This window comes from Homo sapiens, chromosome 7 (genome assembly GCF_000001405.40).
Source record: "Homo sapiens chromosome 7, GRCh38.p14 Primary Assembly".
In the NCBI taxonomy this organism is placed as follows: domain Eukaryota; kingdom Metazoa; phylum Chordata; class Mammalia; order Primates; family Hominidae; genus Homo; species Homo sapiens.
In genome coordinates, this window is record NC_000007.14 from 6,598,256 (window position 1) to 6,611,109 (window position 12,854).

General features: G+C 53.6%; 1 protein-coding gene across 7 annotated transcripts in view, besides 1 other annotated feature; it reads left to right on the top strand.

Moving 5' to 3' along the window:
* The window catches only part of INTS15 (integrator complex subunit 15), an 18,706-nt gene extending 8,235 nt beyond the window's left edge, over positions 1-10,471 (top strand). For 2 of the 7 annotated variants that reach the window (XM_005249845.6, XM_017012614.3), the window contains exons 4-7: positions 1,574-2,101; positions 3,846-3,885; positions 9,282-9,342; positions 9,705-10,471. In XM_005249845.6, coding sequence (XP_005249902.1) covers positions 1,574-2,101; positions 3,846-3,885; positions 9,282-9,342; positions 9,705-10,265 — 1,190 coding nt within the window. In that variant the 3' untranslated portion in view covers positions 10,266-10,471. Of the gene's footprint in view, positions 1-1,573; positions 2,102-3,845; positions 3,886-4,408; positions 4,498-9,281; positions 9,343-9,704 lie in introns of all 7 variants that reach the window. The other 5 variants (XR_926946.4, XM_011515518.4, NM_001303039.2 and 2 more) reach the window with 5 other exon arrangements.
* Positions 4,063-4,357: a silencer, noted in NCBI's record as "tiled region #9377; HepG2 Repressive DNase unmatched - State 25:Art, and K562 Repressive DNase unmatched - State 12:CtcfO". NCBI's record gives its function as "represses a minimal TATA promoter and a strong SV40 promoter by Sharpr-MPRA in HepG2 and K562 cells {active_cell/tissue: HepG2 | K562}" and the evidence as "EXISTENCE:reporter gene assay evidence [ECO:0000049][PMID:27701403]".
* Positions 10,472-12,854: the final 2,383 nt, after the last annotated feature.

The following is a 12,854-nucleotide window of genomic DNA, read 5'->3' on the forward strand; positions in this document are numbered from 1 at the left end:
AGTCAGGAGTTGGAGACCAGCCTGGCCAACATGGCGAAACCCCATCTCTACTAAAAATACAAAAATTAGCCAGTGTGGTGGCAGGCGCCTATAGTCCCAGCTACTCGGGATGCTGAGACAGGAGAATCGCTTGAACCCGGGATGCAGAGTTTGCAGTGAGCTGAGATCACGCCACTGCACTCCAGCCTGGACAACAGAGTGGGACTCCATCTCAAAAAAAAAAAAAAAAAGGCACACAGGACAGCAGCTGCTCCCCGCTGTAGCCATCGTCTCACTGCAGTAGGTGGGCAGGGCGGTTCATACTCCAACAGTTGGCAGGAATCATCTCAGATGGTGGGCACAGCCCCAGAGAGAGGGGGCTGAGGACGCCCTCCTGTGCACACAGGCAGCCTAAGGGCATTGCACACCAAGCCCCGCATGCACAGTATAGCCTCCTGATTAAAAGCCAGGCTGCTGAGGTCAGATCTGGGCTGTATGCTTTGTGTGTGTGTGTGTGTGTGTGTGTGTGTGTGTGTGTGTGTGTGTGTGTGTATTTTTTTTTTTTTTCCTGAGGCAGGATCTCACTCTGTTGCTCAGGCTGTTGTACAGTGGGACAGCCACAGCTGACTGCAACCTTCACCTCCCAGTATCAAGTGATCCTCCTACCTCAGCCTCCTGAATAGCTGGGAATATAGGTGTGCACCACCACTGCCGGCTAACTTTTAAGAATTTTTGTAGAGACTGGGTCTCACTATGTTTCCAGGGCTGGTTTCGAACTCCTGAACTCAAGTGATCCTCCCACCTTGGCCTCCCAAAGTGCTGGGATTGCAGGTGTGAGCCTGGGCCATATACTTTCGACGAGTCCTGGGGAAATCACTTGACATGACTGTCCCTCAGTTTCTTTGTCCTTTGTATGAGACTAATTGCTGGGGTGGAGGGAGGATTAAACGAGTTCGTCTGTGTAAAGCGTTGAGACCTGTGCCGGGCTCATAGGAAGCCCAGACTAAGTGTCACCATCTGTTCTTCTCTGTCTGGGCCACAGAGCCTGCCAGGTCTCAGGGATCACATCTCTGAGGGTTGCTTAGATGAGGGTTCCAAGTTTGGGGTTGGGACGGCCCTTGGCAGCAGCCAGATCACTGACAGGACTCTGAGCTGCTCCCTGAAGGCCACCATTGCTGTCACTGCCCCATACAGGAGACACTGAGCACCGGGAGGACACGTACTCAGGGAAGGGGTGACGTGTGGCAGTGTGGGATAGAAAAACCGTGGAATTTTATCTAAATTAACATGCAGGAGGCAATTTCTCCAAAGCATGTTGGAGTTCCAGGGAATTGTAGACTTAAGTATTTCTGCAGCCTCTCCCTTGCTCCAGGGTCCTGGGCACTGGGATGTGACAGTGACTGAGATGAGACTCCCAGTCCCCCTGGTGTGGATGTTCTAGGAAAGGGGACAGAAAATAGCTAAGCCAGGAGGCGTGATCCAGACCATCAGGTGGGCAGTGCCATGGGCCTTGGGGTCAGGCTTCCCTCTCTCCACTTCCCGCCCCTGTCCTCGAGGCCAAGAGTGCTCCTGACCTAATGGTCTTTGTTTGCAGATGACCTCATTCCACCTATGGACTTGCTTGAAATGATTGTCACCTGGATTTTTGAGGACCCAAGGTTGATTCTCATCACTTTTTTAAATACTCCGATTGCGGCCAATCTGCCAATAGGATTCTTAGAGCTCACCCCGCTCGTTGGATTGATCCGCTGGTGCGTGAAGGCACCCCTGGCTTATAAAAGGAAAAAGAAGCCCCCCTTATCCAATGGCCATGTCAGCAACAAGGTCACAAAGGACCCGGGCGTGGGGATGGACAGAGACTCCCACCTCTTGTACTCAAAACTCCACCTCAGCGTCCTGCAAGTGCTCATGACGCTGCAGCTGCACCTGACCGAGAAGAATCTGTATGGGCGCCTGGGGCTGATCCTCTTCGACCACATGGTCCCGCTGGTAGAGGAGATCAACAGGTTGGCGGATGAACTGAACCCCCTCAACGCCTCCCAGGAGATTGAGCTCTCGCTGGACCGGCTGGCGCAGGCTCTGCAGGTGGCCATGGCCTCAGGAGCTCTGCTGTGCACGAGAGGTGGGTGCCTCCCTGGCCCAGGCCTCCTGGTGCGGGGACACCGCCGCCCTGCAGAAGGAAGGAGGGGCTCCTGGACAGACACTGTTTTTGCTTCATTTAGGACTTCTTTTCCTCCTAGTGAACACAGGGGAGGAAGGTGCCCCAGCCGTGCCCCCTGCATTCCACCCTCCCTGCTCACCCCGTCAGGGTCCTAACATCCCACAGATGGGAGGTCTCAGTGTCGCCCAGGACTGGGGACTCCTTGAGAGCCTAGATAGCTTTCCTTCCAAGGAACCCTTTTTCTTTTTTATTTTATCTTATTTTTATTTATTTATTTATTGCGACGGAGTCTCACGCTGTTGTCCAGACTGTAGTGCAGTGGCACGATCTCAACTCAGTGCAACCTCCATCTCCTGGGTTTAAGCAATCATCGTGCATCAGCCTCCCGAAGAGCTGGGACTACAGGCATGCGCCACCACGCCTGGCTAATTTTTGTATTTTTAGTAGAGACAGTTGCACTATGTTGGCCAGGATGGTCACCTGGTGCCACCTCTACCATCCAAAGTGCTGGGATTACAGGCATGAGCCACCGTGCCGTTTCTTTTTCTGTGTCCTTTTTTATTTTTATTTCTCTTTATTTATTTTTATGAGACAGGGTTTCTCACTCTGTTGCCCAAGCTGGAGTGCAGTGGCACGATCGTAGCTCGCCACAGTCTCCAGCTCCTGAGCTCAGGCAATCCTCCTCCCTCAGCCACAGAGTAGCTGGGACTACAAGTGTGTACCACCACACCCAGCTAATTTTTTAAAAAGATTTTTGTAGAGTCAGGGTCTCACCATCTTGTCCAGGCTGGTTTCAAACTCTTGGGCTCAAGTGATCTTCCTGCCTCAGCCTCCCAAAAGTGCTAGGATTACCACTCTGCCTGTCCTTGTCCTTTTTTATTGAGGCATAATTTATTTTTATTCATTTATTTTTTTTTTGAGGTGGAGTCTCGCTTCTTTGCCCAGGCTGGAGTGCAGTGGTGCGATCTCGGCTCATTGCAACCTCTGCCTCCCGGGTTCTAGTGATTCTACCGCCTCAGCCTCCCAAGTAGCTGGGATTACAGGTATGTGTCAGCACGTCTGGCTAATTTTTGTATTTTTAGTAGAGACGGGGTTTCACCATGTCGGCCAGGATGGTTTCAAACTCCTGACCTCAAGTGATCCGCCCGCCTCAGCCTCCCAAAATGCTGGGATTACAGGCGTGAGCCACTGCACCCAGCCAGGGGACGGGTTTTTTAAAGCAAAAATTGAAGACAAGGAGAACTCAGATTCTTCTTTTTTCTTTCTTTTTTTTTTTTTCGAGACAGGGTCTCACTCTGTTGCCCAGTCTGGAGTGCAGTGGTGTGATCTCGGCTTACTGCAACCTCCCTCTCCCAGGTTCAAGCAGTTCTCCTGCCTCAGCCGCCTGAGTAGCTGGGACTACAGGTGCCCACCACCACTCCTGACTGATTTTTGTATTTTTAGTAGAGATGGGGTTTCACCATGTTGGTCAGGCTGGTCTCAAACTCCTGACCTCGGGTGATCCACCCGCCTCAGCCTCCCAAAGTGCTGGGAATACAGGCGTGAGCCACTGCGCCCGGCTAGAACTCAGTTTCTAAATGACACTAGGGAAATGTAGTATGAGGCGCTCTTGCTGTCTTGCTAGCATCCTTGCAAAGAACGTCAGTGTGTATTTCACCGTGTTGTCTCCAGTATGTTCATTAATCTTGTATCTCCTTAATTGCAGATGACCTGAGAACCTTGTGCTCCAGGCTGCCCCATAATAAGTAAGTATCCTCAGGACTCCTAGCTGGGCCAGCTTGCTGGAGCAGGGTGGAGGGAGGCAAGACAGGGCGAGCCCCTTTGTCCTGGGTTCTTTGGGGAGAGCCCAGTAAGCACATGATGATAAGTGGAGCATCAGAAAACGCACGTGAATGGAACTCAAGTAGAAAGTAAACCTGAAAAATGGTCATCTTGCTGGTAGTCTGTGAGAGAGGCCAGTCCCTGTATCACCGAAAGCTCCCTAGTGAAGGTGCACCTGTTGAGTGGTGGGTGTGGCGCAGGGGGCCCTCTGTTGGTGGCACTGTGAACTGCACAGCCCTTTGGGAAGTCTCGCAGAGCCACAGCCCTACAGCACTGTACGTTTGTTAGGCTAGCTGCCAGCGCTTGGCCATCAGGCGGCACGGACCTGGGTTCTGGGCGCGGCCCTGTCTGGGATTGGCTGTGACACTTGGGAAGTCTCTTGACCTGTCTCTATGCCTCAGCTTACCCCGTTGTAAAATGGGGGTGATACTGTTCCCTGACTCACAGGACGGTAGTGAGGATGAGACCCAGTGGTGTTTGTGAATTTCTCATCCTACTCCTTGCCACGTGGAGACCTCCACAAACGCAGTCATCAGGTGAAAAGTGGGAACTGTGGTCAGATTCTGGAGAGAATCCGGGCCTTGCCACTTCCAAAAGTCCATATGTCCTTGGTCAGCTTCCCTGCCTTCTGCCTGAAGTCCTCATGTGTAAAATCAAGAAAACCATGGGACCTGCCTCATGTCCCTCTTGCCTACCCCAGCTTCTCACCGTAAGATTTTTGTGAGGATTAAATGAGTGAAAACAGGCCAGGGCTGGGGTGTGGTGGCTCACGCCTGTAATCCCAGCACTTTGGGAAGCTGAGGCAGGTGGATCACCTGAGGTCAGGAGTTCGAGACCAGCTTGGTCAACATGGTGAAACCCCGTCTCTACTTAAAATACAAAAATTAGCCGGGCGTGGTGGTGCGCACCTGTAATCCCGGCTACTCGGGCGGCTGAGGCAGGAGAATCACTTGAACCCGGAAGGTGGAGGTTTCAGTGAGCCAAGAGCATGGCACTGCACTCCAGCTTGGGCAACAGAGTGAAACTCTGTCAAAAATAAAAAATAAAAAGGCCAGATGTGGTGGCTCATACCTGTAATCCCAGCACTTTGGGAGAACGAGGCAGGTGGATCACTTGTGGTCAGGAGTTTGAGACCAGCCTGGCCAACATGGTGAAACCCCATCTCTACTAAAAATACAAAATTAGCCAGGTGTGGTGGCATGCACCTGTAATCACAGCTACTTGGGAGGCTGAGGCTGGAGAACCACTTGAACCTAGGAGGCGGAGTTTGCAGTGAGCTGAGGTCGTGCCACTGCACTCCATCCTGGGTGACAGAGCCAGACTCTGTCTCACAAAAACAAAAAGGCTGGGCACGGCTCACAACTGTAATCCCAGCACTTCGGGAGGCCAAGGTGGGCGGATCACCTGAGGTCAGGAGTTTGAGTCCAACTTGGCCAACATGGTGAAACCCCATCTCTACTAAAAATACAAAAGTTAGCCAGGCATGGTGGCGGGTGCCTGTAATCCCAGCTACTTGGGAGGCTGAGGCAGGACAATTGCTTGAACCCAGGAAGCAGAAGTTGTAGTGAGCCAAGACCGCACCATTGCGTTCCAGCCTGGGCAATAAGAGCAAAACTCCGTTTCAAAAAAAAAAATTGGCCAAATATGGTGGCGTGCATCTGTAATCCCAGCTATTCATTCGGGCGGCTGACACAAGGATTGTTTGAGCCCAGGAGTTTGAGGCTGCACTGAGTTGTGGTCGCAACTGTACTACCTGGGCAACAGAGCAAGACCCTGTCTCTTAAAAAAAAAAAGAAAAAGTGAAAACACAGAATGCACTTAAACTAGTACTTGGCCTGTAGTGAATATCTAAAAAGTGTCAGCTGCTTTTTTTCTTTTTGAGACAGTCTTGCTTTGTTGCAGAGGCTGGAGTGCAGTGGCACGATCTCGGCTCACTGCAAGCCTCTGCGTCCTGGGCTCAAGCCATCCTCCCACCTCAGCCTCCCAAGTAGCTGGGACTACAGGTGTGCGCCACCACAGCAGGCTGATTTTTGTATGCACAAAAAATGTTTCATACCGATGCAGTTACTAACTAGCAAAGAACTGGAAACAACCTGTCCTACAGCGGGGTGATACTTAGTAAATGAGCTGTGATACCTCAGGAGGATGGAACATTATGCATCTGCTACAAATAGTAACTGACTGCTGGGGAGGAAATGTTGATAGTGGAAAGCAGAACCCCTGTGCACATGGACAGGGTTTATAGAAATGACAAAGTGAGCTTGGTGGGGTTAGTAATGTTCTTCCTTCAGAGCCCTCACACTGGTCTTTAGCAAGGAGAAGCAGGCTTCCAGGGCAGGTGTTGGTGAGCAGTGTGGACAGAGGGTCAGTGAGTGGCTCGGCAGCCCTGGGGGTGCACACAGCCTCAGCCTGGCCCAGTGGCCGTGTCAGGTCCAGCAGCAGAGCGCTGGGCAGCGCTCGCAGGCTGAGACAGAAACATGCATAACTCGAGTCCAGGGTTCAGCCGGATGCTGGTCCACAGCCTGCAGAGGAACCGCATCCTTGTGTGGGGGTTGGGGACTCCCATCCGTGCCACACTCACTCTGCCAGGTTCTGCAAGGGAGGAGCCGGGGCAGATGTCTGGATGGGTACAAAGCCTGAGGGGGCGGAAGGGAACAGTCTCTGGGATAAGACTGTCCTGCGTGAGGTGTCATGACAGCAGCACAGACAGATCAGAGGGCCACCTCTCCCAGGGGCCCACACTCTTCCTCTCCTCTTTTTCTTTTTCTCTTTGTTTTTTTTGTTTTGTTTTTTTGAGACAGAGTCTCATTGTGTCACCCAGGCTAGAGTGCAGTGGTCTGATATCAGCTCACTGCAACCTCCGCGTCCTGGATTCAAGCGATTCTCCTGCCTCAACCTCCTGAGTAGCTGGGACTACAGGTGCCTGCCACCACGCCTAATTTTTGTATTTTTAGTAGAGACAGGGTTTCGCCATGTTGGCCAGGCTGGTCTCGAACTCCTGACCTCAAGTGATCTGCCTGTCTCGGCCTCCCAGAGTGCTGGGATTACAGGCATGAGCCACTGTACCTGGCCTCTTTTTCCTTTTTTTGGTCTGGGTTCTAGAAGTTTCCACAGCATCGAAGAACATTGTTGGTATCAGCTGGCACCTTTCCCCTCCTGCAGGAATCCCTTTGTGATAGTTCCCTTCTTTGTCCACCGCTTTTATTTAACATTTTAATGTTTTCTTCAGGGAATTAAAAAGACAGCAGGATACAAATCCTGTGTATCATCCGAGTCTTATAACCAGGGGTCCACATTAGAGCCCCCCAGAACTAATCAGCAGTCCCCTGCTGGTCCTGCCCTGGAGACTCTTGACTCCATCCCTTCCAAGGAGCTGGTGGCCGCCTCTCCTGACGCAGATTTGGGGAGCCCTGACCTCCCGGGGCAGGCCTGGCACTGCTGTTGGGGAAGGACAGGGGGTCGCCTGGAATACCTCCTACATTTCTTTTCTTTTCTTTTTTGAGACAGAGTCTCGCTCTGTCACCCAGGCTGGAGTGCCGTGGTGTGATCTCGGCTCACTGCAACCTCTGCCTCCCGGGTTCAAGCGATTCTCCTGCCTCAGCCTCCCGGATAGCTGGGATTACAGACAACTGCCACCACGCCCAGCTAATTTTTGTATTTTTAATAGAGACGGGTTTTCGCCATGTTGGCCAGGCTGGCCTCGAACTCCTGACCTCAGGTGATCTGCCTTCCTCGGCATCCAAAAGTGCTGGGATTACAGGTGTGAGCCACCACGCCTGGCCTACCTCTTAGATTTGTGACAGTCTCTGTGTTCACCGTGTTTCCAAATAGACTGGAAACTTCTTGAAGTGCTTTCTATCTCCGGCAGGGTGTGTACAGGTTCAAATCATCACATGACCGAAATTTGGCCTCTGCAGTACTCTGCAGTACCTCCTCCTTGGGTTCGTTAATCTCTTGCTAAGTTACTTACCCAGGGTTATTTAATAGTAGTAACAGAAAGAAAGGGGGCTCAGAAGAACTTTGGGCACCGAATGCACCAGCCCTCCACATACCCTCTGTTTACTGCCTCAGCCCCTCCTGGGGGCCCTGGGCCCAAGCCTTTGTACTGGGGAGCTTGGGGGTTCAGTCTGTGACAGACCAGCCCCTTGATGGAGTATGGGGGAGTAGACAGAGAGCAGGCAGGGCCGTGGCTGGGAAAACGGGTTGTTGTGGGACCCAGTTAGGATAATATGCAGGGACGGAGCCTTGGCTAAGTGACGGGGTGTGAGTAGAACCCGGCAGGCTGGCCTTGGTGTTAGGAGAGACCAGTGCAGGCGCTGCAGACACAGGACCCAGCCGGAGCAAGATCCTGGGGCAGGTCAGGAGAGGGGCGGGCAGAGCCCCTCTGTCTGCAGCAGAAGCTTCCGATGGGGGAAGCAAGGGGAAGGCAGGGTAGGGAGGAGGCCTGGGACCTGAAGCTGGGAAGGGCCCCAGAGGGCCTTTTTTTTTTTTTTTTTCTTTGAGACAGGGACTCACACTGGCTCCCAGGCTGGAGTGCAGTGGCACAATCATGGCTCATGGCTCACTGCAGCCTTGAACTTCTGAACTCAAGCAATCCTCCTGCCCCAGCCTCCTGAGTAGCTGGGACTAAAGGTGTGCACCACCACGCCCAGCTAATTTTTAGTTTATTTTCTGTGGAGATAGGGTCTCACTGTATTGCTCCGTCTGGTCTTGAACTCCTGGCGTCAAGCAGTCGGCCTCCAAAAGTGCTGGCATTACAGGCGTGAGCCACCAGACCCGGCCAAGAGAGGTTCTGACTGGGGAGAACCCATGGGGAGTTGGTCGTTTCCGGCTGACACAGAGCGGGGCAGCCCTCGCCTCGGCTGGGGGAGCTGGGGGTGATGAGCCAAGCCAGGGAGTTCTGGGGGGTTGGGGGATCATCCTGGGGAGGGCGTGGTTAGAAGGCAAGGGCCGTGAGAAACTCTTTCAGGAGTCTGGGAAGGGACCCAGCGTTGGAAAGCCACGTTGAATTTGCTGGGAGGAGGATTCCAGGAAGTGCGGGCCGTGGTTGTGCTGTACCACCAGGACGGGAGGTCCAGGCCTCTGGGGCCCGGAGGCCTTGGTGGGAGCGCGGTGGCGGATGGGGAGACCGTGCTTGCAGCTGTTCTCGGAGCCCCGGTGCTGGGTGCTGGGCGGGGTGGGTGCCCAAGAGTGGGGGCATCTGAAGCTGAGGCTGCGCGGGGCGGGGTGGGAGGTGGGTGGGTCCCGGAGGTCTGTAACGGCTGGGTCCAGGCCTGGGCCGTCCCCGAGGGGGCCGCACCGGACTCATTCTGAATTTCAGGACTCTGAATTTCGGGGTCGTTTGCAAGGCCAGCTTCCTGGGGCTTCTGCTTGGAATTCAGGTAGGGCGCGGTCATTCTCGGCTCTGAGGAGACTGTGGCCAGCTGTTCTGTGTGTCCCAGCGCAGCAGAGAGCCGCAGAGGCTGACGTGGAGGCCACCTGTGTGGGCTGCGCGCCCGGGAGTGCTACGGCCGGAGCTCCGTGGGCCACAGGCCCCGTGCAGAGCCCACTCCCACGCATCCTCGCCTGTGGGGTCCTGGCTCTGCCACTGCTTCTCCGTGTCCACCGCCTGGACCCCCGGGTGGTCCGTGCCTGTGTCGGTGCCTCTCCTGGGCGGGGTGCGGGGGGACGGGGTCAGCCTACCGTGCGCACCTGCGGAGTCCCCGGAGCCCGCCCGCGCTGACGCTTATGCTTGTGTTCGCAGCCTCCTCCAGCTGGTGATCTCGGGTCCCGTGCAGCAGTCGCCTCACGCCGCGCTCCCCCCGGGGTTCTACCCCCACATCCACACGCCCCCGCTGGGCTACGGGGCTGTCCCGGCCCACCCCGCCGCCCACCCCGCCCTGCCCACGCATCCCGGCCACACCTTCATCTCCGGCGTGACCTTTCCCTTCAGGCCCATCCGCTAGGCTGGCCCGTGTGTGCCTTCTGCGCTCTCGCTGGACGAAGCCTTTCGAGATGGAAGGGGTGGCCGGACTCCCAGAAGAGAACCTCGGGGAAGGGGTCGGGCAGCCCCTCCCCGCCGGCAGAACCGTCTTGGTGTCACGGAGTCCAGGTGCTTCCCACCCGGTCGCATTCTTTGACATGCAGATTGGATGGTGGAGGGAAGAGTCCAGCCTCTGCCGAGAGCCTGCTGCGTGCATTTTTAAAAGATGCCGATCCTGGGAGCCTCTGTTCTCTGCGCATTTCAGACACAGCCTGTGTGGCGAGGAGTGTGACGGCAGGAGCCACGGGTGCAAGCCCGTGTGTCTGGCCTCTTTCCTCGTGAAGACGATGTGTCCCCGCCAGAAAAAGTGGGCTCCTTCTGCAGCCCCGTGAGCTGAGCCCAGGCTGCGTAGTGACCACAAGCTTATGTGCAGCACTGCTCAGGGAGGCTGTCAGGAATTCCCCTCACCTCGGAAAGGAACTTCTCAGTTTTATTGGGGGTGTCTAAATTTCCTTTCATATGTTCAAATAAATTTTTCTAAACAGTCATGTAGACTTTATGGAATGTATTTTTAACAGCTTCATAAATATTGCTTCCAACTGCGGTATTTTCTTAGCAATCTCTTTTTTTTTTTTTTTTTTTTTTTTTTTATTTAGACAGAGTCTCACTCTATTGCCCAGGCTGGAGTGCAGTGGCATGGTCTCGGCTCACTGCGACCTCCGCCTTCCGGGTTCAATTGATTGTGGCACCTCAGCCTCCCCAGTAGCTGGAACTACAGGTGCACGCCACAACGCCCGGCTAATGTTTTGTATTTTTTAGAGATGGGGTCTTGCTAGGTTGCCCAGGCTGGTTTTGAACACTTGAGCTCAAGCGATCCGCCCACCTTGGCCTCTCAAAGTGCTGGGATTACAGGTGTAAGCCACTGCACCTGGCCTCCTTCCCAATGTCTTATGATCGTCGTAGTTTTTAGTCATTTCTTTTGACGGAAACAGCTTGGACACCTATGTTCCCAGCTGAGCCAGGCAGCTGAGGTCAGCAGGCATAGAGTGCTCCAGGTCTTTTTTTTTTTTTAAGACAGGATTTCACTCTGTCATCCAGGCTGGAGTGCAGTGATGTGATCTCAGCTCACTGCAACCTCCACATCCCAGGTTCAAGCGATTCTCCTGCCTCAGACTCCCAAGTAGCTGGGATTACAGGCGCCCTTCACCGCGCCTGGCTAATTTTTGTATTTTTAGTAGAGACAGGATTTCACCATGTTGGCCAGGCTGGTCTCGAACTCCTGACCTCAGGTGATCCACCAGTCTCGACTTCCCAAAGTGCTGGGATTACAGGCGTGAGCCACTGCGCCCAGCCTGCTTCAGGTCTATTTGCTTTGGGTCACATTTCTTCTCTCAGGTACAAAACAGCCGTCGGGGATCTTTTTCCTACTGAAAAGGGAAGGTGTCTGCTTGGAGTCCTCCCTTAACTGACTTCAGGAGGAAGGAAAGATCAGGAACCATGTCACTGGCTCTCCTAGCCTGAAGTGAGAGACAGCAAACATGGAGCACTGAAAGATGGAGCTTACCTTGCAGGGAAGAAATTGAACCTCCTGGGGCCGGGCGCAGTGGCTCACGCTTGTAATCCCAGCACTTTGGGAGGCCAAGGTGGGCGGATCACTTGCGGCCAGGAGTTCGAGAACAGCCTTAGCAACATGGTGAAATTCCATCTCTACTAAAAATACAAAAATTAGCTGGACGTGGTGGTGTGCGCCTGTAAAATCCCAGGTACTCGGGAGGCTGGGGCAGGAGAATCGCTTGAACCCAGGAGGCAGAGGCTGCAGTGAGCCAAGGTTGTGCCACTGCATGCCAGCCTGGGTGACAGTGAAATTCTGTTTCAAAAAAGAGAAAATTGGCTGGGCGCAGTGGCTCATGCCTGTAATCCCAGCACTGTGGAAGGCCGAGGTGGGCAGATCACCTGAGGTCAGGAGTTCAAGACCAGCCTGGCCAACATGGTGAAACCCCGTCTCTACTGAAAATACAAAAATTAGCCAGGTGGGATGATGTGCACCTGTAGTCCCAGCTACTCAGGAGGCTGAGGCAGGAGAATCACTTGAACCCCAATTGCTTGTTGTTTTGACACAGAGTCTCACTCTGTCACCAGGCTGGTGTGCAGTAGTGTCATCTTGGCTCACTGCAGCCTCCACCTGCTGGGTTCAAGTGATTCTCCTGCCTCAGCCTACCAAGTAGCTGGGACTATAGGCACCTGCCACCACGTCCAGCTAATTTTTGTATTTTTAGTAGAGACAGGGTTTCACTATGTTGGCCAGGATGGTCTCGATCTCTTGACCTTGTGATCCACCTGCCTCGGCCTCCCAAAGTGCTGGGATTACAGGCGTGAGCCACCGTTCCTGGCTGATTATTTTCATGCAACACACTTCCCTGTCCTGGCACGGTTGATGGCATTTATTGGGTGTTTGACCTGAAGAGTGACAACCGACATTTGCACACTAGACCACTGCCAATGCATGCTTTCCGTTTTTTAAAATTGTATTATTTTTATTTTCCTTTTTATTCTATTCAGAGAATGCAAGCATTTCTAGGGAAGGACTCTTGAGAACGTGCTCTATTAAAATGAAGGGCAGCATCATCGATGCTCACTGCAGCATTAATCTTGGTGTTTCTCCCTAGTCTGCTGCTCCTCCCCAGAACAGAATCCAAATCTTTTCCATCATCTCCAGGAGGAGACAAACTTCCTGCAGCCCCACAGCTGCCGTCTGGGAGCAGCTCTAAGTCTGTCTTATTCCACTCCCTTTCAAGGCACCTGCTACTGGCCCACCAGCTTTTCTTCTCAGGCGCAAAGGATCAATAATCAAAATGGCACTGGACTTCTCTACTAGCAACTCTGGAAGCTAGAAGACAATGAAACTGTTAGTTGCACCACGGCACTCCAGCC